This window comes from Homo sapiens, chromosome 9, assembly GCF_000001405.40.
Source record: "Homo sapiens chromosome 9, GRCh38.p14 Primary Assembly".
Classification (NCBI taxonomy): domain Eukaryota; kingdom Metazoa; phylum Chordata; class Mammalia; order Primates; family Hominidae; genus Homo; species Homo sapiens.
Window position 1 is genome coordinate 110971046 of NC_000009.12, and position 27134 is coordinate 110998179.

General features: G+C 36.9%; 1 protein-coding gene across 77 annotated transcripts in view; it reads right to left on the bottom strand.

Annotated features, from left to right (window-relative positions):
• Positions 1-27134, bottom strand: part of LPAR1 (lysophosphatidic acid receptor 1) — a 165736-nt gene that overhangs the window by 97783 nt on the left and 40819 nt on the right. For 65 of the 77 annotated variants that reach the window (NM_001351397.2, NM_001387475.1, NM_001351399.2 and 62 more), the window contains 2 exons: positions 2436-2513; positions 1028-1175 (listed from right to left, as the gene is read on the bottom strand). In NM_001351397.2, the coding sequence (NP_001338326.1) occupies positions 1028-1072 (45 nt within the window). In that variant the 5' untranslated portion in view covers positions 1073-1175; positions 2436-2513. The remainder of the gene's footprint in view (positions 1-1027; positions 1176-2435; positions 2514-27134) is intronic. The other 12 variants (NM_001387471.1, NM_001387485.1, NM_001387481.1 and 9 more) reach the window with 1 other exon arrangement.

Here is a 27134-nt window from a genome sequence, read left to right on the forward strand (position 1 = left end):
AATCGCTTGAACCCAGGAGGTGGAGATTGCAGTGAACCAAGATCATGCCACTACACTCCAGCCTGGGCAACAGAGCAAGGCTCTCTCTCAAAAAAATAAATAAATAAAAATAAAGTTGGCCAAAAAATGATTGTCACAAATAAGAAAGGAGGTCACACTATAGAAAGAAGATAAATGAAGAGTAAATGGGAAACTACACTTGCTGAGCACCTCTGTATGCCTCATGTATATGAACCATCATTTTATCCATATAACCATCATGTGAGGAATGATTACATGAGAGGAAACTGAAGCTGAGAGAAGCTAGCATGACTAGGGCTCTTTATCCTGCAATCAGAGGAGCAGGGATGTGAACTGTGGCCTTATGACTCCAAAGTCTGTTTCCACATTGTACCCTGCTGCCTGGTGAATCTGAAAGAGTCCAGCCAATGCCTGATTAAATCAGGCTGTAAAATCATCTGAACAAAGACCATGTCCCTGCCGTATTACTGCTCTTCACTGGACAGAAAAAAATAACTCATACGATTGCTGCTCAGAAGTTTCTGGAATTGCATTTTGTTTCAAAGTTCCTAGAACAGATCAAGGCAAAAGAGTAAGTATAGGAGGAGGACAACAAGACAGCCCTCAGAAAACTTGTTATAAAATTAGATCCATTCTGATATATTTCATTAAACCCCACCCCACCCCCCGGCCCACAAAAAAGCCAAGAGAGGAAAAGCAGCAGGGTTTACTACTGACTTACTTTGATTTAGAGTTTGATGCCTATAATGTCAGACATCCTAAGCACTGAAAACCAAGGCCTCCTATGAACAGAGGCCAGTTCACTAAAATCACTTGTTCATTGTTCCAGCTGCTTCCTGAACGAAATGGCACCTCACTCACAAAAGCACCATTATTCGAATACACACCAAATGATAGCGAGAGAGATATACATGATCCCTAGAGTCAAATACACTTCCTGAAACCCAGTTTAAATATTTGACAAACTTACGATTACCTCAGACCTCTGCTAGTTTGAAGCCCTTACCTGGGGCTGTGAAATTACAGGGATGGAAGTAGAGATGGCAGCCATGACAGCTCTGTGGTTGTAGGTGGTGAACACGCCCCAGAACTACGGGAGACAAATTTTCTTGTTTGCTGATCAGATCGAAGTCATGCTAGGAGAAGCTGTGTACCTGGAAAACAACAGGAAAACCCACATTTAGCATAAAAGGACTAGCATATGGGTGTGAAGTACCATTGGCCAAAGGAGGTAAGAATCCCTAGACATCAAGTGTCAAATACTAGCTTAATGCAAACAGAAAGCCGGTAGGGAAAAGCTAAGGTCTAAAAGCCACGACTTCTGTGCTATCTGTCCAAATACTCTTAAGTTGAGGAATTTTCATAGGTTTGAATCCAACATCCCAGCTAGATGTTTTGGGAAGACAGTTTCAAGTTGCAGAGCTGAGGAGGGTGAGTCGGGGGAAAAGCCATCCTGCCATTAAATAATAAAGGAATTGAATAATCCACAGTGGAGAGCTGACGGCTTACATAGAGGGCAAAGAGAATGCAGTAACCACCCCCACTTATCTGAGGAGTGGATTCTAAGCCCCCCAGTGGATACTTGAAACTGGATAGTGGGTCAGGTGCAGTGGCTCACGCCTATAATCTCAGCTCTTTGGGAAGCCGAGGGGGAAGGATTACCTGAGGTCAGGAGTTTGAGACCAGCCTGGCCAACATGGCAAAACCCCATCTCTACTAAAAATACAAAAATTAGCCAGGCGTGGTAGAACATGCCTGTAATCCTAGCTACTCAGGAGGCTGAGGCAGGAGAATTGTTTGAACCTGGGAGGTAGAGGTTGCAGTGATCCAAGATGGCACCACTGCACTCCAGCCTGGGCGACACAGAGAGACTCCTTCTCAAAAAAAAGAAAAAGAAAAAGAAAAAGAAACTGTGAATAGTACCCAACCCTGTATATAACAGAGACAGCTACTGAGTGACTAATGTACAGGTAGCACACACAGTGTGGAATCGCAGGACAAAGGGACAAATCACATGGACAGTATGAGATTTCACCCACACTATTCAGAACGGTGTGCAATTTACAACTTGTGAATTGTTTGTTTCTGAAATTTTTCATTTAATATTTTTGGACCAAGTTTGACTGCAGGTAACTGAAACTGTGGAAAGTGAAGCTTCGGATAAAAGTAGACTACCATAATACCGTCAAGTGATTAGATAGCACCCCGTCCAACCCCACCTATTTGCAGAAGAAAAAATTGAGGCTTAGAGAAGAAAAGGGACTAGAGTCACACATTTAATGGTAGAACCAGGACTACAGCAGCAACTCCGGTTCCCAGGCCTATATGAAACGTAACGAAGTTAATGTGTTCCCTGCCTATATCTCCTCAAGGAACTTAGTTACCGCTTTTAAGACTAAAGAAAGGCAAGATACCTGATGCTGTAGGTGTCAGTCCTGAGAAGTCAGGTACTCAGATAGGTGGATGGGGAGCTTCATAAATCAGACGTCCACCTGTGTGAGAAAGAGAACATTTCTAAAATCCTTTTGACATCCTCAAAGAGAGGATGCTAAATAAGCACAAAGTATAACCAAATCTCTTATTCACGTGTTCATTAAGAAAACTCAGAAAGATGCTAACTTCCCTGTAGTAAATCACAGCCCTAGTTCTGTCCAAAGGCTGATGTGACTCTTTCCACATTGCAATTTAGTCCAGAAGAAAAAAATTTTTCATTTTAAGAAAATAATTTTTAAAAATTCGTTTATTTTTAAGAAACATTTTCATTTTCTGGTGATGTTCATACTCCCTAACAATATCTTTTCTTTTATTCAAAAGACGTTATTGGCTGGGCACAGCAGCTCAGGCCTGTAATCTCAAAACTTTGGGAGGCCAGTGGGGGCAGATCATTAGAGGTCAGGAATTTGAGACCAGCCTGACCAACATGGTGAAACCCCATCTCTACTTAAAATATAAAAATTAGCTGGGCGTGGTGGCACACACCTACTCAGGAGGCTGAGGCAGGAGAATCACTAGAACCCAGGAGGCGGAGGTTGCAGTGAGCCGAGATCGTGCCACTGCACTCCAGCCTGGGCAACAGAGCAAGACTCCGTCTCAAAAAAAAAAAGTAAGGCTAAGCCAACCTTGCCTTTAAGGAGCTTTTGTCTGTAAATATACTTCCTAGTTTCACCAACATGCAAGATGATACCTGAACACTTTTTAAACTATTGGGAAATGATACTTTTCATAATAGTAAAAGTAATGAACCAGATGTCACAAGATCCAAGTCTTGCACAGCAGGAACTGTGGAGTTGGACATTTAATCCAAGTCCTTTGTCCCCCACATCCCTTGGTGCTACCCTATATTAGCTCAGGGATACTGGGCAAATGAGGAGCTCAGAAGTGCTGCTTTTCTAAGAAATAATCTAGGTTTGACAGCAACTTCTATAAGCTTAAATTTTTAATTGCTACATTTTTGTGCAGCATCCTTGATACTACAGTTTCAATCACTTTAGGTTCTGGCTGCTTAGAACTGTAGAGCCTTCCTATTTTCTTCTCCCATTACAGCAATTATTTTCATTCACAAATAAGTAGTAAAGTTCTCAAGTTATCTTGTCATGACATTCAACACCGAATTCCACAGCTGCCCTGTGACAGTACTGATATTCTCCTTAGTCCCAGTTTTAGGAACAAATGAGACTTGTTTATCACACTGTGAAAGTAAATAAACAACCCAGGAGAAAAGCATATGTATACAGGACCTTTCTTTTTTCAAGATGACTGCTAGAGTGCCAAACCTACCCAAGAAAATTACAGGAACCCCAAGGTGCACTGTTTTACACTGAACTTATTCCTGGCACTATTTTTTGCTCACTCCTACTTTCATTTTTCCTTTCTCCTTCTCATGTATTTATTATTCCTGGCATTATTTTTTGCCCACTCCTACTTTCATTTTTCCTTTCTCCCTCTTATGTATTTATAATTCACATTATCTTGCTCTATGTGACATAAATGAATATATCAATAATACAACTAAAAAGCAAAAAATCAAGCACATAAGATTCCATTCTTAAGGACGCATACTATATGCTCAGGTCCAATATCATTTCACCAAGCTATGTCATTAAGCAATATAACCTTAAAATATTTTCAATATTCAGAATATAGAGAGTTGCCTAAAAGGTAAATAGAGGCACCTAGCTTAGAGTAAGGAAAGCGAAATAGAAATGGATGAGATCCACCAAACAAATATGTCATATGACGTTATTACTAACAACAGCAGAGGGAAAGATGCGAGACTGGGATTTCATGAAAGGCCACTGGATGCTGAGCTTTGGAGCAGTCATTTCCCCAACAGTTTGAGGCAGATACTATTCAGTTATTTTACAGAGGAGACATCTGAGGCTTTGAAAGGTATTGTGAGGTTATGCAACATACCCACAGTCACACAGTCAGGAAATGAAAGAGCTGAGGTCTGAACCAGGGCCTATGCTAAGATTCATACTCTTTCCATAGGCCAATATTCCATGTGATCAAAGATTAAAAAGAGATGGAAAGCACATGGAATCTTTAAGCAAAAATGTCAGATAAAAAATGGAGAAAGTAGGATGAAAGTCAGATGACCTGCAGAGTAACCCTGAGACAGAGAACCTTGTGCTCTTCTCATCTATATAAAATTTTAACCATTTAACCCTCATTTGGATGTTTCATTTCCTTGAGATGCCTAATAAACATGACAGATTGTTAGTTTCACATTTTCAAGAAGAAAATAAGACAGAAAATTAACTGCCTTCTCCTAAAACATGCGACACGTCTAATTTTGTTGAACCTATTCACACATTACAAGAACGCTTTATAAAATAGTGTATGCTTACTTTGCCAAATACAAGGGCTAAATGACATAACTTCAAAGGTATAAATCAGTTTTCCCTTGGGAGTGAAGTCTTAAAATTATATCATGAAATCTATTTACTTCTCAACTTATTTACAAAACTGCACAAATCATGGGGGAACTAAACAAGACAAAAAAGACATTACCCTAAGTAATCATGCCATACAGTATCTAGCTGAGTAAGCTGGCTCACTTTGACAGATGAACCCCCGCCTTACCAGAGCCCCAGACTGTCAACTAGAGAGTTGCACAATAATTTTTAAAGAAATACATCCCTGGCTGGGTGTGGTGGTTCACGTCTGTAATCCTAGCATTTTGAGACGCCGATGTGGGTGGATCATGAGGTCAGGAGTTCAAGACCAGCCTGGCCAAGATGGTGAAACCCCGTGTCTACTAAAAATACAAAAAAAAAAAAAAAAAAATTTAGCCAGGCGTGGCGGCAGGCGCCTGTAATCCCAGCTACTCAGGAGGCTGAGGCAGAGAGCTGCTTGAACCTGGGAGGCAGAAGTTGCAGTGAGCCGAGATTGCACCACTGCACTCCAGCCTGGGCAACAGAGTGAGACTAAGAAATACACCCCTCTGAACTCTTCCAAGTACTTGGATACCTGTTCTGCAACTCTTCCAACCTGCCACCAACCTAACTCTCCATTTCCTTTGCTTGAGCTTCAAAACTGTGTTCTAGCCACAGAAAACCATGAAGCAATGTGGGTTTGCCCAGCTGACATCAGGCTCTCCAACTGCCCTTGGAGCATTACTGCTGCCTCTTCTCTTCTTTCCTAGTTGTCTCCATTTTCTATTCTCCTAGGCATCTCTTCTCATCTATATTTCTCTTCTCAAAACCGTAAAATTACTTCTAATGCCTCTCACCTGCAAAAGATGAGCTTTGTCATCTATTTATTTATTGGATCATTCATCCATTCCTTTACAATCACTGGGTCTAAATTACCTCAATATCCCCCCTATGATTCAAATCACATATATAAAATACAATTTCCAAATAAGAAAGCTATAAGCTTATTTCTTTGTGCCAGATTACCAAAGAAATGACCAGTTGATTATAACAGAGGAATATCCTGAATCAGCCCTGGAAACTATAAATAGATCTTAAACGTTCAGAAATATATACTTGAAAGAATCAACATGGGAGGTTGACAAAAGGACTAAAACACGATATCCTCTTCATGTGAAACTGCAACTGCACAACCAGAAAATAAGCAAATGAGAATCCACTAAACCCATAATGATACCCCTAGTTTAGAGCGATGGGGGCTGAGGGAACTAAGCCCAGGAAGACTTGGGGTACATTTAAAACACACTAACTCCTTTAAAAGGGCTCCTGGCTTCAGAGGCCAGCCAAGCAAGTAACCTCTGGCTGCATTTACTTCTGGTTGACAGGTGGCCATGATGACTACCACAGAAAACACATGGGAAAAAGACACTCCCAGCTGGCTCCTGGCAAGGGCAGCCATGCCAAGTGACAATGACCTTGCTAATTACTGAGTGCCACACCAAATACCTAAAACAAAGTCTTTGGTTTGAGGCAAACTTCCCTTTGATTACTTCTGGAGCTGATGCTGGCTCTTTTCCCAGGCCTCACAGGAATATGAATTCATAATTGGTAAATTAATCTACTACAAATGTAACCTTTTTCCTTTGTCTGGACTTGAGTCAAATAGTGACTCATACAAGTTTCTTGAAAGAACACAGGGTTACTAATGCACGCGGGGCTTAAAACCTAGATGACGAGTTGATAGGTGCATCAAACCACCATGGCACATGTATACCTATGTAAGAAACTGCATGTTCTGCACATGTATCCCGGAACTTAAAGTAAAATTTTAAAACAGAAGGAAAGAAGGAAGGAAGGAAGGAAGGAGGGAGGGAGGGCGGGAGGGAGGGAGGGAAGGAAGGAGGGAAGGAAGGAAGGAAGGAAGGAAGGAAGGAAGGAAGGAAGGAAGGAAGGAAGGAAGGAAGGAAAGAAGGAAAGAAGGAAAGAAAACAAGGCAATACCCAATACTGAATATGCATTGACTTCCCTAAGGATAAGCAAAGGAGAAAAATCTAAATCCACCAGGCAAATAGAACACATTGTGGTTCAGAAAAGGGGAAGATTCTAGAATCAGAGCAAATATTTACTTAAGAAATAGATATACTATATAAAAGAGAAAACTCTATTAACAGAAAATTTCTAGCTCATGTTCTTAAAATTCCAGGGGACATAGTAGAATCTTTGCACATAGAGCAGGTAGCCATAGAAAGAAATATGAGACCAGAAAAGAGTCTGCGCTAACCAGAAAAGAAAATCTGAATTATGAACTTGAATAAAAGCAACCAATGAAGCAGAAAGTAGAATATTTTTAAAAAGCAAAAAATAAAATTAGTGATGCAAAAGATAAAACAGACTTCTCAGAGGTAGCTGGGGGAAGCTACGTGGGTAAAGATTTTAAAGCCTTCGTCTCCAAAACAGAATAGATGAATGAAAAGCAATAAAGGAGGAAAGAAGAAACCATCAATGCTGAAACCTGGAAAGGACAAATTTATTCTAAAAACTTTAGAAAACTATTACAGATATACAACAATTTAGATAAAATGGGGAAATTTTTCAAACTATGTATCATTCTTCAGAGAGCCCTATAGTCTGATATAAACAAAATAGAAGAAATTCCTGAAGCCCAAACCTGGAGGAACAAGATGAGATACAGGCAGTTCAGAGCTGAAGCTTGTCTTCTTTCTTATTATCTCTTCCGCCTATCAGAGCTAAATAGCATCTGAAGCCAGTCTTACATCATCTAAGGCCTGAGACGGAAAGATTTTTCTCTCTGGAATCTGAGCAGATGAATAGGTTTAACAATAGTAACATCGAGAAGAATATATTGCACTTATTCAAACAAAAACAGGATGCTTAAAAAGTGGTAATTCAAAATCTAAAAAAGTTTTTCCCACAGAAGTAGAGAGCAAAGTGGTGGTTACCAAAGGCTGGGGTGGTTGTGGGGAGAGGGAGTTGGGAAGATGTTGATCAAAGGATACATATTTACAGTTAGACAGGAGATCTATTGCAGTTAGGAGGAATAAGGTCAGATCCATCGTGTAGGACAGTGACTATAGATAATGATGATACATGGTATTCTTGGAAAATGCCAAGGGAGTGGATGTTAACTGTTCTTACCGCAAACAAATGGTGGCTATGTGAGGTAATGCATTTGTTAATTAGCTAGACTTAACCATTCCACAATATATATATACTCAAAACATCATATTGTGCATGATAAATACTTATAATTTTATATGTCAATTTTTAAGAATTCAAAAAAAATTCAGTAGACAGATTGGAATATAACTTTAAGGAATGTGCCCAAAATGTAGAGTTAAAAAAAAAAAAGTAAAGAAGACTAGAACAGTAAAAATGAGAAGGCTACAAAATGAGTCCAGCAGGTCTAATAGCCAAATAGAATTCCAGAATAAAAGAGTAAAGGAAATGGGGTGGAGTGAAGTCAAATGACTAACTCAAAATATTTCCTAAAACGTAAGGTCATAACTGTGTAGACTGTAAGGGCCCACTGAGTGCCTACCTGCCCATTTCATTTGATTTCAATATGCCCACATTAAACACAGCATCTGTCATCATGAGTTGTGTTTTTTTAACTGTAAGGATATTAAAAAGGTCCTATAAAATATCAAAAAGCAGGTAGGGAAGCTCATAAGCAAAAGATTAGGAATCAGAAAGTCTCTGGACTTTTCAACAGCAACCCTGAAAGCTAGAAGACAATGAAGCAATGAGGAAGGCAGTTGACAACCTAGAATTCTATTGGCAGATGTTCTTCTGCAAAACAGGGAGGAAACTAAGAAAAAGACAGGCATGTGATACAGGAAACAGGAGTCCAATACAAGAGGGAGAAAAAAAGGAATTCCTGGCATAATTGTGAAGGGAAATCCTTGGGTGATAAGCAAAAAGACTCAAGAAGTAGTATATCAAGAGGAGATTTGGATAACCAAGAGCATTTAGGACTGAATGAGTAAAAAGCACATAGAAAACTAAGCAAACATCAAAAGAACAATTAGTTTAAATAGAACAAAAAATTTGCAGAAGAGGAAAAGGATTCATAGAATTCTACATGGCTCAGGTATGAACAGCATTAACAAGGTCATCATCCTATTAACACTGAATAATGGCCTAGTCAAAATCATGACCTAACTATACTAAGAAAAGGAGGTTCAGGATGGGAGTATGTGAATGGTACACTTTGCACATGGTACATCTATAAATATTCCAAACTAGTAAGATAAAAAGAAATAAAAACCTTAGAATTCCACATAGCACATATTTCAAAACATATCATTCACAATTTTAAAAATTTTCAAAAAGAAGTTAAAAAAAATCTTACAGATTAAATGCAAATATCAAATGAGGCTGCCAAAACAACTGAAAGTGGTAGCTCTGGGGAAGGTAAAATTGTAGGAAGCAAGCAAGGACTCCTCTTTCCTGGCAAGCCTCAGAGCTATTTGACACTTTAAATTACATACATCCTGTCATTTGCAGCAACACGGGTGAGCCTGGAGGACTGCATGTTAAGCGAAGTAAGTCAGGCACAGAAAGATAAATACTGCAATGTTCTCGCTCCTATGTGGGAGCTAAAAAAGTTGATCCCACAGAAGTAGAGAGTAGGATAGTGCTTACTAGATACCAGGAAGCCTAGGGGACAGGGAGGGATAGGGAGAGTTTGGTTAATGGATGTACAAAGTTATACCTAGATAGCAAAAATAAGTTCTAGTGTTCTATAGATCTGAAGAGTGACTTATAGCAAACAACAATTTATTGTATTTTTTCAAATAGCTAGAAGAGAGGACTTTGACTGTTACCCGTATAAAGAAATGATGAAGGTTTGAGGTGATGGATATGTTAATTGCCTTAATTTGATCATTACACATTGTATATACATGTATCAAAATATCACACTGTATCCCATAAATATGTACAAATGTATATCAATTAAAATGAATATATTTAAAGATAATATAGAGGAACAAATCCCAAGCATCATTTAATTTCTTCTGTAAATAACTCAGCATAATACATATGCTGTAAGTAACTTTATGTTTACATATTTAGCTGTTTTGTCCTTAAAAGAACTCTTTTATAAGGAAACTACCTTACCATCATCACAGTTAAAAAATTAATCAGAGGTACTTGATATCATCAAATATTCGGTAAGTTCACAATCCCCTGATTTTCTTATAACTTTTAACAGTTTGGTTGGTTGAGTCAGAATTCAAATAAAGCACATACATTTCTTTTTTTAAGAAAAGGAGGAAGAGAGGCAGTGCTGCATAGTAGTTACAAGTACAGTACGCTAGGGAATCCAACTGCCTAGGTTCAAATCCTTGTCCTGCCAGTATGACCTTGGGCAGGTTATGTCATGTCTCCTTGCCTCAGATTTCTCCTCTGTAAAATGGGTATAATAATAGTAAGGCTGCCACATATGACTATAAGAATTGAATTGATTAATGTACCTAAGACACCTGGAGTAATACTTATCATACTGTGAACAATATAGTGAACATGGTAAAAGTGATAGCTAACATTGTTTGCCAAATAAAGTATCTACCTATACATTTTTAAATTATAAACATTTACAAGTTTGATTTTAAAATTTTTTAAGGAAATAAAAAAAAATCACTGCAGAAACTAAAAATTTAAAACTACAAAAGACAGAAGTGCCACTGCAGAAAACCAAGTTGGTGCCATGGAAGTCTGGCTTGGGAAAAAGTACATGTGCTTACAATAATGGAATTTACTAGATTAATTAGAAATTATGGACATACAGAATCTACAAATAAACAAATTTACAAGAAGAAAACAACCTCATCAAAAAGTAGGCAAAGGATATGAACAGACACTTCTCAAAAGAAGACATTTATGCAGCCAACAAACTTATGAAAAAATGTTCATCATCACTGCTCGTTACAGAAATGCAAATCAAAACCACAATGAGATACCATCTCACATCATTTAGAATGGCGAGCATTAAAAAGTCAGGAATCAACAGATGCTGGAGAGGATGTGGGGAAAATAGGAATGCTTTTACAGTGTTGGTAGGAGTGTAAATTAGTTCAACCATTGTGGAACACAGTGTGGCAACTCCTCAAGGATCTAGAACTAGAAATACCATTTGACTCAGCCATCCCATTACTGGGTATACACCTAAAAGATTATAAATCATTCTACTATAAAGACACATACACACATATGTTTACTGCAGCATTGTTCACAATAGCAAAGACTTGGAACCAACCCAAATGCACATCAAATGATAGACTGAATAAAGAAAATGTGGTACATATACACCATGGAATACTATGCAGCCATAAAAATGGATGAGTTTATGTCCTTTTCAGGGACATGGATGAAACTGGAAACCATCATTCTCAGCAAAGTAACACAAGAAGAGAAAACCAAACACCACATATTCTCACTCATAAGTGGGAGTTGAACAATAAGAACACATGGACACAGGGAGGGGAACATCACACACTGGGGCCTGTCAGGGGGTGATGGACTAGGGGAGGGATAGCATTAGGAGAAATACCTAATGTAAATGACGAGTTGATGGATGCAGCAAACCAACATGGCACATGTATACTTATGTAACAAACCTGCATGTTGTGCACATGTACCCCAGAACTTAAAGTATAATAATAAAAAATAAAAATAAAAAAATTTAAAAAGAAATTATGGATATAAATCGCAGGACATAAAGATTCAACATAATCGGCATACTTGACAAAAATAAGTGGAACAGAAGTTACTTAGCAATAAAAGTAAACTTTCCTAACTCCTACAACTCAAAATCAAAAACAACAAACCAACAAACAACTTAAAAATTGGGCAAAAGACTTGAGTAGACACTTCTACAAAAATGTATATACACATACACACACACACACACACACACACACACACACACACGGCCAAACATGAAGAGATGCTCAACATCACTAATCATCAGTAAAATGCAAATGCAAATCAAAATAGTAAGATAACATCTGACACCCATTAAGATAGCCATTATCAAAAAAAGAAAAGAAGTATTAGCAAGGATGTGAACAAACTGGAACCCAGCACTGCTGGTGGGACCAAAAATGGTACAATCACTATGGAAAACAGTATAGAGGTTCCTCAAAAAAATTAAAATAGGATTACCATATGATTTAGCAATCCCACCTCTGGGTATATATCCAAAATAACTGTTAATGATCTTTCAAAGAGATATTTGTATACCCATGTTTGTAGCAGCACTATCTACAAGAGCCAAGAGGTAGAAGCAACCCAAGTTTTCAACAACAGATGAACAGACATAAACTAAATTGGTATATACATACAATGGCTTATCATCCAGCCTTCAAAAGGATATTCTGGCATATGCTATGACATGGATGAACCCTGAAGACATTATGCTAAGTGAAATAAGCCAGTCAAAAAAGGACAAATACTCCACATATATAAGGTAGCTAATAGTCAAATTAATAGAGACAAAGTACAGTAGTACTTGCCAGGGACTGGGGGAGAGGGATGAATGAGAAATTGCTGTGTAATGGGTACGGGGTTTCAGTTTTACAAGACGAAAAGAGTTCTGGAGATTGGTTGCACAACAGTCTGAATATACTTAACACTACTGAACTGTACATTTAAATGGTTAAGAGGGTAAATTTTATGTTATGTGTATTTTACCATAATTTAAAAAAGTGTGACAAATTCCAGGAAAACTATGAAGTAAATGATAAGTGCAAAACAGGTTTAAGTTAATAAGCTTTAAAAATTAAAAGAAATCCCATTAAAAAAATCAAATGGGGAAAATAAATCAAATCATAATGGGAAAAAAATGGGCTGGACACAGCCATTAACCTCACCCCAACAAATAAGATGAAGGAATAAATTTCAAGATTTTGTCAGAAATATGGAACGACTCAAAAATTCTACAGCCAATCAAGCCTTTGTTTACCTGCAATAACAAAAACAAGCCACTTTTAATATTTTTATTTTTAATTTTTGTGGGTACATAGTAGGTGTATATATTTGTGGGGTATATGGGATATTCTGATGCAGGCATGCAATATGTAATAGTCACATCATGGTAAATGGGTACGCATCACCTCAAGCACTTATCCTTTCTTTGTGTTACAAACAATCCAATAATCCAACTATACTCTTTTAACTATTATAAAATGTACAATAAATTTACCCTGTTATGCTACCAAATACTAGATCTTATTCATTCTATTTAACTATATTTCTGTACCCATTAACCAACCCACCTTCCTAGCCCCTCGTAACTATCCTTCTATTCTCTGTCTCCATATGTTCAATTAATTTTTTTAGTTCCTACAAATAAGAACATGCAAAGTTTATCTGTGACTAGCTTACTTCACTTAACACAGTGACCTCCAGTTCCATCCATGTTGTTGCAAATGACAAGATCTTATTCCTTTTCTGGCTGAATAATACTCCATTGTGTATAAGTACCACATTTTCTTTATCCATTTTTCTGTTAATGGACACTTAGGCTGCTTCCAAATCTTGGCTATTGTGAACAGTGCTGCAATAAACATGAGAGTGAAGATACCTCTTCAATATGCTGATTTTCTTTCTTTTGGGTATATACTTAGCAGTGAGATTGCTGGATCATATGGTATAATTAAGATATATTTCTCCCTGAAAAATTTGTTCAAACACATAATACAACTACTCATATGACAAATCAAAATAATGTGCTCAGGAAACCTTTGGCAAGAGCAGCTTGTCAATCCAGATAAGCACAGAATACCTGTGATAGTAACGGTGACAAAAAAAAAAGAATGCAGTTTTAACTAATAGGAAAAAAAAAAAGCTATACAGTTGAAATACGTGTAACTAATAAGCTAAGATGAAAACTCCAGAAAATCACAAGAAAAAGGAGAACATTCTTCACCTTTTGAGAAAGGAGCCAATCAATACTGTTTCATTTCTAAAGTTGATAAAATCAGAATTTCCGTTTTAAAGAATCAAAAAGAAAAAGGAAAGGGGAAAACAGGATGACAGAGACATGGCCATGCTAAACTTTTTATCTGGGTTACTTATCCCTACCACTGACTCTACCCCCTTCACTGACAGTGAAGCAAATGGTTCAGCTGGGATGAAGGAGGCTATGGGTTCATTTGCTTCACATGCAGATTCAGAACAAAGAAATCAGAAATGCATTTGAGAAACCAAATGACTACCTTATGTTTTGTTTTAAAATACCATCGCCACCTGTGGCTACAGGCTGCTTTCCTCTCTCTGTGGCTACTTTCCTCTCTTCCTCAAAGTGTCAGCCCTAAGATCTTGCTTCAGTGTACTCACAGGATACAATATATTTCATGTTCATAAATCCTTTTCCACAAATAAGATCAGTCTTTTCATTTGCTTCTCCAGCTTTTCAATTAGATCTTTTATTTTCAAATTGGTCTAAAAGTCTATCATTTTTTCTACAGGGCACAGAGCTAACGCATTCCAAGGAAGAAATACAACTAGCCCATCCTGCGCACACTGACTGCAGAGAGAGAAACACAATTAACACAATTGCGCCTTTTTACATGTATTTTATCAGGTCATGATGGGCCAGGTCAGGTATTCTAGAAGCTGGAGAAACTGGCCAAAACTTATATAAGTAAACACTGTCTTAATTTCAAAGACTGTATTCCCAGCTGTATAGTTTTCACTTTAGAAGTGGTCCTGATGGAGAGGAATGCTATCCTGACACTTACCAAAATAACCAAGAATTGTAAAATTCAAATTATGGAGATTACTATCTTAGAATAAGTGTCACTATGAAGGCAAAGGATATATTGGCCAAACTGTTTAGCCTCAAGGTCAAGCTAGTTTGTGTTACAATGCTTAGAAAATGGGAGAAAATCTCTACTTAGAAGTAGTAAATCAGGAAAGGCCTGGAACTACAGATTTCTGAGTTGGAGAAAATTGAGCTCAAGGGAGTGTGATCACTCATGAAGACAGAGAGCAAGAAGAGAAGGAATGAGATCTACATTTTAAGGGGAAATGAGGAGGATTCCACAAAGAAGACTGAAAAAAATCCTCTTGAAAAGTAGAACTCTACTCTGGGTAAGAGACAGACTTCATTCTGCCCTGTTTCTTTCCAGAGTCATCTAAACTCTTGATCTTCTTTGTGTGTGCATGCCATGACCCTCAGCCATTTGCATAGGGACCTAGAGCAATGCAGATATAAATTTGAATTAGGATTTCCACTTACAGGAGAAGCACCCTATAGGGTGGATACATTTCTACTGAGGGCGCCACTGTGCCAAGCTGGGGTGTTTTCAGTCCGTAGTTTTCAGAACAAGGACAATTACAACCTCTATAACCAAGCTTCGGGCAGGCTAGACTCTTCCAACCACAGATGAGTCTTGAAAAATATTTCATTCTAAGAGTAAGTGCATGTTTCTAACATGAGAAGTAATTTTCAGCCAAGTATGGTGGCTCATGCCTGTAATTCCAGCACTTTGAGAGGCCAAGGCCGGAGGATTGCTTGAGCCCAGGAGTTTGAGACCAGCCAGGGCAATATAGTGAAACTCTGTCTCCACAAAAATTAAAAATAAAACAAAAATTTAAAAAGTTAACTATTCTAAAAAAAAAAAGTAATTCCCAAATGGCCTAAAATAGAAGGAATGTGAATATATGAAGTGAAGGGAAGAAAATTAGGGAAGAAAAGAGACCAATGGGGGTGGAAACAAAGTGTCGAAATAGCTAGTCAGAATATAGAAGTCTGTGGCTGTGGTAAGTAAAGTGATTCAGCCCTGAATAACAGTGTTCAACAGCAGAGAGTTCTCTTAACAGAGACATCTTCCATTATTTAAGGTTTCAAGTAGCTTAAAATTCAAGCACCTTTGGGAGAATGAATCAAAATCAATACTGAGTGCTTGAATGATTGTGATTTAAAACTGCCTCAACATAAGAAAGTTATCCTTGAAAGATGGTTTTCTGATGTGTTTGTATACAAAGTAGGAAAATAGGCGCTCAAATGTATTTCTGGTATAGGTGAAACTGTTGTAACCTTTCTGGAATGCTAATATTAGGGAAATGTGTGTATATGCATGGTTTCCATCAAGATCCTAAAAAGTGTGCTGAATCAGAAGGCATGTAACTCCACCACTAGGAATTTATACTATGGGAAAAATATAAAGGACAAAGAATTTGCTACAAGGATGCTTAATGCAATATCATGTATGATAGGATAATTTTAGGAACAATGTAAGCATCCAGTAATACAGTACTTGGCAACCTTGTTATTAAAACTACATTTACATGCAATTCAACTATTATATATCTATTCAATTATTATGTTTATTCTATATAATATATTGCATATATAATAGGTATTATATTCAATTGTATAATACATATGTTTATATAATATATATGTTTATATAATATTTCAACTCCCAATAATTTCATCTCCAGTGCCACCAATAACACTCCCTACTCCCTGGCCCCCTACTCACGAAATTATTCTTTAAAAACTTCAGTCTCCAAATTTGGGGGGAGACTGATTTGAGTAATAAAACTCCAGTCACCCATTCAGCTGGCTCTACATGAATTAAACTCTTTCGCTATTGCAAGTCTCCTGTCTTGATAAATCAGTTCCACCTGGGGAGTAGGTAAGGAGAACCCATTGGGCAGTTACACCACAGACAGCCCTGTGGAACCTACATGTATATATATATATATATATAAAGTTGGCCCTCCATACCTGTGGGGTTCGCATACCATGAATACTATATTTCTGATCTGCATTTGGTTGGAAAAAAATATGCATATAAATGGATCTGCATTGTTCGTGGGTCAACTGTACACGTAACTGGAGTCCCCAAAGCAAAAAGGGAGAGTGAAAAAACAAGGCTAAAAATAAACACTATAAACCCACAGACTCAACAAGCTCAATGAAGCATGAGCACAGGAAACAAAGAAAAATGCACAATCAAATTTACAAAACCATAACAATAAAATCTTTAAAGTTACTGGATTAAAGAAAAAAAAAGACACCTAGAGAGGAACAAGGATAAGAATGACAGCAGATTTCTCATCAGAAACAATCCAAGCAAAAAGACAGGTGATCAACATCTTTAAAATAATGGGAAGTGGGGGAACTATCAATCTAGAACTTTATACACATTAAAAAATGTTCAGAGGTGAAAGTAAAATAAAAACATTTTCAAACATACAAAAGGTGAAAGAATTCATCATAAGCAGACGTTGGACCATAAGAAATGTTAAAAAGAAGTTCATCAGACAGAAAGAAAATTATACCACATGAAAATATGGATCCTCATAAAGAAATGAAGGATACCAAAAATATTAATAGTAATAACATGGATAAATATAAAAACCATTTTATTATATAAGTATCTGAAAAATATAATTGAAAACAACTCATAGAAAGAAAAATATTTGCAAATCATAAGGGACTTGTATCCAGAATAAAGAACTCCTGCAATTCAATAATGAAGAGACAAGCTAATTTTAAAATGATTAAATATCTGAATAGATATTTTTCTAAGAAAACAGACAAATGGCTAACAAGAATATGAAAAGACACTGGATATCCTTTAGCCATTAGGGAAACAAAAGCCAAATTCACACTTCATAACTACTAGGATGGCTATAATTTAAAAGACATAATAACAAGTGTTGGTTAAGAATGTGGAGAAATTGGAACCCTTATACATTGCTGGTGGGAATATAAAAGGTGCAGCCACTGTGAAAATCTGGTAGTTCCTCAAAATATTAAATAGCATTTTCATATGATCCAGCAATTCCACTCCTAAGTATATGCCCAAAAGAACTGAAAATATATATCCACACAAAAACTTCTCCAAGAATATTCATAGAAGCATTACAGAATCATCAAAAAGTAGAAATAATCCAAATGTCTATCAACTGTTGAAAGGATAAAGTTAAATATGGTATTTTTAAACAATGGAATATTATTGAGCAGCAACAAAAAAAGAAAGAAAGATACATACTACAACATGCAGTATTGTGCATTTTTTTCTAAGTGAAAAGCCAATCAAAAAAGGCCACAAATCTATAAGCCTGTTTACATGAAATGTCCAAGATAGGTAAATCTATGAGAAAGAAAGTAGATTCGTGTTTTTCAGGAGTTTGGAAGAGGATAAATAGGGAGTGATTGAAAACAAATATGAGGTTTCTCTTGGAATGATAAACATTTTCTGAGCTTGATTGGAGTGATGATTGCACATTATCTATCTATCTATCTGGAGACAAGGACTGGCTCTGTTGCCCAGGCTGGCCTTAAACTCCTGTGCTCAAGTGATCCTGTCTCTGCCTCCTGAATAGCTGGGAATACAGGCACATGCCACTGCTGCAGAACTCTTAATATATCAAAAACTATTGAATTTTAAATGGCTGGCTTTTATGGTATTAAATTATACCTCAATAAAGTTGTTCTAAAAAGATAATGAAAATAACAATAGAGTTTATTACAAAAGTTTTAAAAAGCAGGGGAGTAAAGTAAGTATACTGTATTGTTGTGAGGTTCTTGTACTATACATAAAGGGGTACGATGTCACTTAAAAGTTGCCTACAATAAATTAAAGCCTACTGCACACACTGAATCAACCACTAAAAATAAAATAAAGAATTATGGCTAACAATCCAACAAGAAGATAAAATGAAATCATAAAGTATACCAAATCCAAAAAATAGAACAAATGTGACAATAGACAAAAGCAAGATGATAGATTTAAACATAACCATATGAAAACACATATATATACACTCATTAAATGTAAGTGGTCTAAACAACTCAATTAAAAGGCATAGATTATGAGACTGGATAAAAAAGCAAGACACAACTATATGCTCCCTACATGAACCATACTTTAAACATGAAGACACAAATAGATTAAAAGTAAAAGGATAAAAAAACGAAATACCCAGCTAACACTAAACAAAACAAAGCTGAAGTATCAATATTAAAATCTAACAGAGTAGATTAGTAGATTTTAGAGCAAAACATATTAGCAGGGATTTTAAAAAAAAAGGTTATTTCATAATGATAGAGTCTCTTTATCAAGATGACATAACAATCCTAAAAGTGTATGCATCTAATTACAGATTTTTGAAACATACGAAGTAAAAACGAGTAACTGGATAAATAAACAAATCCACAAATATAGCCAGAGATAAATATGCCTCAGTCATTAATTGACAGAACAGAAAAAATCAGTAAGGATATAAGAGACATGAACAATACAAGTAGTCAACTTGATCTAATTTGACATTTTGAAAAGACTCAACCCAACACCAGACTACACATTCCTCTCAAGAACAAAAGAAATCTGTACCAATATAGACCATATTCTGGGCCATAAAACAAGTCTCAATAAATGTAAAAGAATTTGAGTCATAAAAAGTCTGTTCTCTGACCACACTTAAATTATCAATAACAGAATGATCTCTGGAAAATCATCAAATGCTGGAAACTAAGTAATGTATCTGTATATACCTTATAAATCAAAGAAGTCAAAGGAGGTAATTAAAAAATCTTTTGAATTGAATATTTTGAACTAAATGAAGAGGAAAACAAAACATATCAAAATTTGTGGGATGTCACTAAACCAGTGCCAAAGAGGAAAACCATAGCATTAAACACCTATAATAGAAAAGAAGAAAAGTCTCAAATAAATGACCTCATCTTTTACCATCAAAAACTAGAAAAGGATAATTTAATTAAAATCAAAGTAAGCAGGAAAAAATAAAATAGTAGATAATTATATAGAAACTATAAAACAAATCCAAAAGATGTTTCTTTAAGAACATCAATACAATTGCTAACGCTCTAACCAGATTAGTCGAGAAAAAAGGTGAGAAGATATAAATGACTAATAATAAAATTGAAAGAGGGGTCATTACTATTGTCCCTGTCAGAGACATTAAAAGTATAATAAATGATTAAGACAGTGTAGTATAGCATTTTCTCCACTTTTAAATATGAAGTCACAATTTTAAAATCATGGTGGAACTATTAGATATCCATAAGCAAAAATATAAACTGAAAAAACCAACTGATTCATACCTCATACCATATACAAAAATTAACTGAAAAGGGTCATAAACCTAAATATAAAACTTAGAACCATAAAACTTCTAGAGGAAAACATAAGAGAAAATCATTGTGTACTTTGCGTAAGCAAAGTTTCCTTAGATAAGATACCTGTGAGCCAAAGTAACAAATGTAAGAAGACATATTTGCTCATTTCTGCTTGTCAACATACTTTCCCAAAGCCCCTGACTCTGTGACAACGTGTAGCTCTCCAGAAACGTGCATTGAAGACAAAACAGAATAGAGAACAGGGCCTCCCACCCTCCAGCTCTTGCCTGAGTCACTGTATTCCTTAAAAGATAAATGGCCCTAGTCCTTGCCTTTTCCTACACATAAGAGAACACCTGACAGGGTTAGTGATTACACTTCTGTAATCTATAACTAGATAGACTCTTGCACCCAAACTTTGATGTGATTTTATATGCACTGAACCTGTATATAAACTGTGAGCTGAAACACTATTTTGGAGCAGTCTGATAGAATCTTTCTGGTTTGTTTTGTTGTTGTTGTTGTTGTTGTTGTTGTTGTTGTTGTTGTTGTTTTTTGGGACAGTTTCACTCTTGTTGCCCAGGCTGGAGTGCAATGGCACGATCTTGGCTCACTGCAACCTCCGCCTCCCAGGTTCGAGCAATTCTCCTGCCTCAGCCTCCCAAGTAGCTGGGATTACAGGTATGTGCCATTTGTATTTTTAGTAGAGATGGGGTTTCTCCATGTTGGTCAGGCTGGTCTCAAACTCCTGACCTCAGGTGATCCGCCCACCTCGGCCTCCCAAAGTGCTGGGATTACAGGCGTGAGCCACCACTCCTGGCCAACAGAACCTTTCTGAAAGACTCCTCCCAGGCTGTAGTCCTCAGTCAGTCTATAGCTCTCAGTAAGACTTCTGGATAAAACTAACTTAAATTCTTTAAAAGCTTGTTTTTTTTTTTCTTTAGTCAAAATATCAAAAGCAGGATCTATAAAGAACAAACAGAAAAACTGAACTTCATTTAAATTTACTTTTTAAAAGACATTGTTAAATAAATTAAATGGCAAGCCACAAACTGAGAGAAAATACTTTCAAAGTATATGTCCATAAGGAACTTGTATCCAAAGCATATAAGAAATTTCAAAATTCAAAAAGGGGCAAAAGATTGGGACAGTTTACCAAAGATAATATACGGATGGCAGATAAGCATAGAAGAGCAATTAGGAAAAATGCAAATTAAAACCACAATGAAACACCACTACATGACTATTAGAATGGATAAAATTGAAAAAACCAACCATACCAAGTGTCAGTGAGGATTTAAAGAAGCTGCAACTCTCACACACTGATGTGGGAATGTAAGATAGAATCAGTCTGGAAAATAATCTGACAGTTTCTTTAAAAGTTAATTATCCAGTTCTGCCATTTAACTCCTAGGTATTTACCCAAGAGAAAATAAAGTAGTTGTCTATACAAAGACTTGAGCACAAATGCTTCTAGTAGTTTTATCTGTAAATAGCCAAAAACTGGAAACAGCTCAAATGTCCATTCATAAATGAATGGACAAATTGTTATGTATCCATAAAACAGAAGACTACCCAGCAATAAAAACAAATGAACTACTGGTATGTATAATACTATCTATCACTCTCAAAATAAGCCGAGTAAAATAAACCAGACAAAACACAACACTTACTGTATGATTCCATTATATAAAACTGTAGAAAATGCAAACTAATTTATAGTGACCAAAAGCAATTAAGTGGTTGCCTGGGAGTATAAGAGCAGAATGACATGAGGGAAGGATTTCAAACAACAGGAGAAAAGCTGAGGAGTGTTGGATATGTTCACCATCTTCATTGCAGTGATAATTTCGAGAGTATATGCATACGTCAAAACAAATCAAATTGTATACTTTAAATATATGTAGTCTATGTTATCAATGAAAAAATTAAAAGAAAGCATAAGTCTTAAAGAAAAACGCTATTTTACAACTTTTTAAAATGTAATATTTAAAGAACATTCTCCTTAAATGGAAAACTCTGGCATACAAGAAAATATGACCACTAACCACAAACTAATTTTTTTTTAATATACTTTAAGTTCTAGGGTACATGTGCACCACGTGCAGGTTTGTTACATAGGTATACATGTGCTATGTTGGTTTGCTGCACCCATCAACTTGTCATTTACATTAGGTATTTCTCCTAATGCTATCCCTTCCCCAGCCCCTCACCCACCAACAGGCCCCTGGTGTGTGATGTTCCCCTGCCTGTGTCCATGTGTTCTCATACCACAAACTAATTTTTAAAAATTATTATGGAATAGTTTTTAAGTTTTTTCCTGGCTTTTATACCCTTGATCTCTTGATTATAGGCTGTTTATTGTGTAGAATGTTCCTCAGTGGCTCCAAGGGCAGCCCAACGCAGAGTGTCAGAGTCTAAGTGAGGTGAAGAGGATGTCCCCATGGGAAGGTAGCCCAGAGTTTGTGTCAAAGCCTGAAAGGTGAGGGGTCAACCAGGAGAGAAAGAAAGAGGTAATCCAGGAGAGAAGGAGAGAGGTTTTCAATAGAAATAGAAATAAAAACAGTTATCAATGTGTGTGTTGCACAGTGAGAAGCCTGGGAATAGTGATATCCCAATAACAATGAGCACACCTAACACTTACATCTTCGTCTCTTAATACCATTCTCTACAGAAAGGTGCCAGGCTCCTTGGAGATATGCCTGTTCCTCAGATTAGGGAAATACATGATGCCTTGGTTACCTTGAGCAGACAGTTAAGACAGCACTTAAAAGAATTATGCAGACATGTAAAAAGGACAAGGAAACTAGTTTGAAAGGTACTCACTGGTCTAATTATTTCTAAGTTTGAAAATGAAAAAGGAATCCGTAAGTTCATTTTAATACAAATAAAAGTTTGACCAAAAAATTGATATTTACAAAGACTCAAACACTTCCCTAGAAAATACTTACCATAAAGTGCAAAATAATAACTGTACAGTAAATAAGTCTGGAAGACATCACTTTAATCAAGTGATCAAAATAACATCACCAATAATGGAGCAAATCAACAGTGTGTGCCACCTGACAAAATGCAATGAGAATATCACTTCTGTCATGTTCCTGCCAAAAGTTTGAAATCTGAATTTAATCAACAGGAAACATGTAACAAACCCACTGAGGAACATTCTACACAATGAACAGCCTATAATCAAGAGATCAAGGGTATAAAAGCCAAGAAAAAAGTTAGAAACTATTCCATAATAAAGTAGACTTAGAAAAGACCTAATTATAAATACAGTGCAAGATGATGAGCTGGATCCTTCACTATCAAGGATATTGTTGTGACAATATGGGAAAATTTCAATGGGATCTGATAATTAGATGATAGTAAGATAATAGGGTGAATTTACTGATTTCAGTGGTTGCTTTGTGACTATGTTGAAGAATGTGCTTGTTTGTGAGAAAAACAGAGTATTTGAAGATGTTAGCGCATCAGTGTAAACAATTCACTCTTAATTGACTTAGGGAGATAAAAGCTTCTTCACACTTTTTTACTGTACTTGCAACTTTTCTATAAGTTTGAGGGAGGCAGAGTAGAGGAGGAGGAGAGGAAGGAGCAGGGATAGAAGGAGAAGCAGTCATCTTACATAAAATAATTTTAAGTGGAAGAGAGGGTTCATGTGTCACTACTAACCATAAGAATAGACATCCCCAAGATCTGGCTAAAAGTGACTGTTACAAAGTACATGACTACCCCAGACACATATGTGCCTGATTTTAGAGAAGACAGGAAAAGATGTCTCAAACAAATCACAAACTCTAAGAGGCACGTTGCCAAAAGTCAAATAGGTCTTCTGAAAAAGGAGAAGTCTAGACCACAGTCAACAGCGCAGGCAGCATCGTACCACCAAGTTTAGCTGTGTTTTCAAAAAAGCTAAAGAAATATCATAGTATTAGAAAGACACATTTATGTTAAACACAAAACAAAGACAAAGGCAGATGCTCCAGCAATGTGGCCCTAAGTACTTCTGTTTCCAGGATACATGTCACATGAGAAATGTGACGAGGTACCATGTTCTTTGAAGATGGTACATTATGAAATTTCTTCTGCCTACCAGTGAGACTAATCTCTTCCAGATGTTGTTTGGCCCACAATGTGCTATTCAAATATATGAAAGTTTTGTTTATTTTCAAAGTTTGAGAGCCAAATAAGAAACCCAGTTTCCTTCACCAGCCTCTAATTAAACTGGAGATAAAAGCTTAAAAAAAATCAGTATATAACCTAAGTCTAGACTTATACATCCTGCCTGAAGTTTTGAGGTGGGGAGGGGGAAGAAAATAAGACCTGTGGAATACAATCCTAATATCTACTTCAGCATGGGAAAAATAATGAGACGCTTAATTTCATTTCCTTTCCTGCTCCCAGCATATTACCATTCTTCCTCATTGAAAACCCTCTTGGCAATACCTCTCTAAAACAGTAAATATAGAGGGGAATCTAAAGAAAACTAGTATTGTACTAGAGGATGAATTATTCCCAGCTGGGTCGAGGATATGTAAATACTCTGGCTTCCTGAGAAGTCACATACGTGATTTTACCAACTTGAGGGAGCACCAAGAAAGAGCTGGCCTCATTCTTTGATATACAATTCTATGAATAGCATCTCAAATGTTACCACTCTGTTGAAGAAATCAGGAAGTGAAGCAAAGGGAATTAAGTGACTTTTCTCTGTTCACAATGATTTAGTAACTATGAAAATCACCAAAAAAGGGGGGTCCCCTCTCTAACTTATGTGAGTGGTTAACTCCTGTTTTCCTGTTATGAAAGGGTTTAAAATATAATAGCGGACACTTTTAAAAATAATGGCTGAAGTCTTTTATCAGGAAAGCAGTAGAAAATGGAAGGGAAAAGGAGCCTCTTTTTTAATAAACTATGAGGAGATAGTAAAACCACAAAGTAGCCACAAAGCCCCTATGTCTGAGACATGACCTAAAAACCAACCGGAGACCTAAAAACAGCTGTGAGGCCCCACTTGAAAGACTTCTATCTGCTAATGGGCCTGAAAGATGCTGTCCTACATGTCCAGAAAAACACAGTGGGATAGTCCAAATATGTAGAGAATGGAGAATATCACACAGAAAACTTCTAACTAGTGTGAAAAGGGATTTGATGACCACTCCAAAAAAGAGATAAGGCATTATGACATTAGAAAGGGAATTCTGGGCTGGGTGTGGTGGCTCAAGCCTGTAACTCCAACACTCTCCGAGGCCAAGGCAGGACAATCACTTGAGACCAGGGGTTCGAGACCAGCCTGGCCAACATAGCAAGATGCCATCTCTACTTAAAAAATAATAATAAATATAAAAATATTTTTTAAAGGAAAGGAATTCTGATACAAAAGGAGTCCGCTTACAAAAAAATAAGTTTTACTAAACTGATATTCCCTAAAAAATCTGGGAGAAGAAGAAACAACCAGACTCAGTGGCTGTGGGTGCGACCTGACCAAGAATTTCCTGGGGCTTGAGAAGGAAGCGTGTGCCAAAGGGCTGAGGTTACAGCGACTGTTGTTTTAAGCCAAGTCATAGCGATAAAATGAGCAGGTGGCAAGTCTCTAAATCTTTTGTATTCCCAGATTTCCCCATTTTACAGTAATACAGTGCTGGGGGCAAGGGATAAAATGTGATGTGTTCAGCCAATTGCAGAGAAGCGGCTCCAAGGGTATAATTTTAGATTTCTAAAAGGCCACCTCTCCAAAGAACTACCCCAGTTTCTTTTGGTGGTAGCGATGGAGGTAACTGAAGTGACATACAAGGACCCTTCCCCTTCTGGGGTCTGATGGTCTCGTTACAGAGACTGATCTCTGATCTAAGTTACATGAACTCCTCCTCTCAGCTGGAATTCATAGCACCACACTGATTTCTTTTGGCCCCAAGCCCAAATTGCAGCTGTTTGTACTTATTCGTGGTATGGTGTATTTTGAAACAAAATGAACCAGATTTTTCCTACTGCCTATGTCAGTGCCTGGTATTGGGAAACATTAACTCTTTCACAGTGAGGCTACCAACAATTGTATTGTGTCTATGAAAGGAAGGATGATATAAAGAAGACACTGACCCCAAGCTGGGAAAGAGTCAATCAAGAAGCCCATTTCAAAGCAAAGGGCAGATATTCCATCATTTACTTAGTTTTGGGGCCCCATCTACTTCCAAATAAGTTTCAGATAGGTTACAGAAGATTATAAAGAACAAGAGTCATGGATTAAAGTAAGCAAGGGAAATAGGTATTTCAAAACTGAGTGCAAAATTTTACTCTGAGCTCTCTGGTAACCAAAGCAAAAGGGAAAATGAAGAGTTGCGTATTAACTATTGAGAGAGAGAGATGTTATTTTCTTCTACTAATTCCTAGTAAGAGTTATCAAATGGTATAAAATATACAAAAATATTAATATGGCTATTTCTTCTCCTATCAACTCTCAATGAAAGCTGAAGATAAAAATAAATGGTTCTTGGATGGTATAGCACCCATGAAACTTAAACACAAAACAAAACCAGACTTTTAACAGAGTTTTTTATTTAGTAGAAACTAGACATCTGTATTTTTTAAGTCTCCTTAATTCTGAAGCGTATGTCTGATTACATGCCATTATCTTAAATCAGAGTTCTTCACAGATACTTGGACTAGAACAAACGTATTATATTCTACATTTATTGCTAGTAAGTGATCTAATATGATATAAGGTGAGCAGAGCAAGCTTTACTGCAGAATATAGTAACACTGAGTCCTGTGTCTTCTCCAAAGCTGGTGCATAAGATGCTGTGCGAGAGAGAACCAAGAATCTGTATTTTAACAAGCACCCAAAGTGGGTCTAGGTTGAAAGCTAGGTGTGTTAACTACTGCATTACACCAGTGGTTCTCAAATTGTAATATGTGGCACACAGAATTCACTGGAGGGCTTGTTCAAACACAGATGTATGAGCCCCACCCCACTGCATGTCTGATTCAGTAGGTCTGGGGTGGATCCAAGAATTTGCATTTATTAACAAATCTCCAAGTGATGCTGGTGCTGCTCATGGGGCCACACTTTAAGAACCACTCACTAAACTGTCCATTTAAAAAATCAGTGGCCT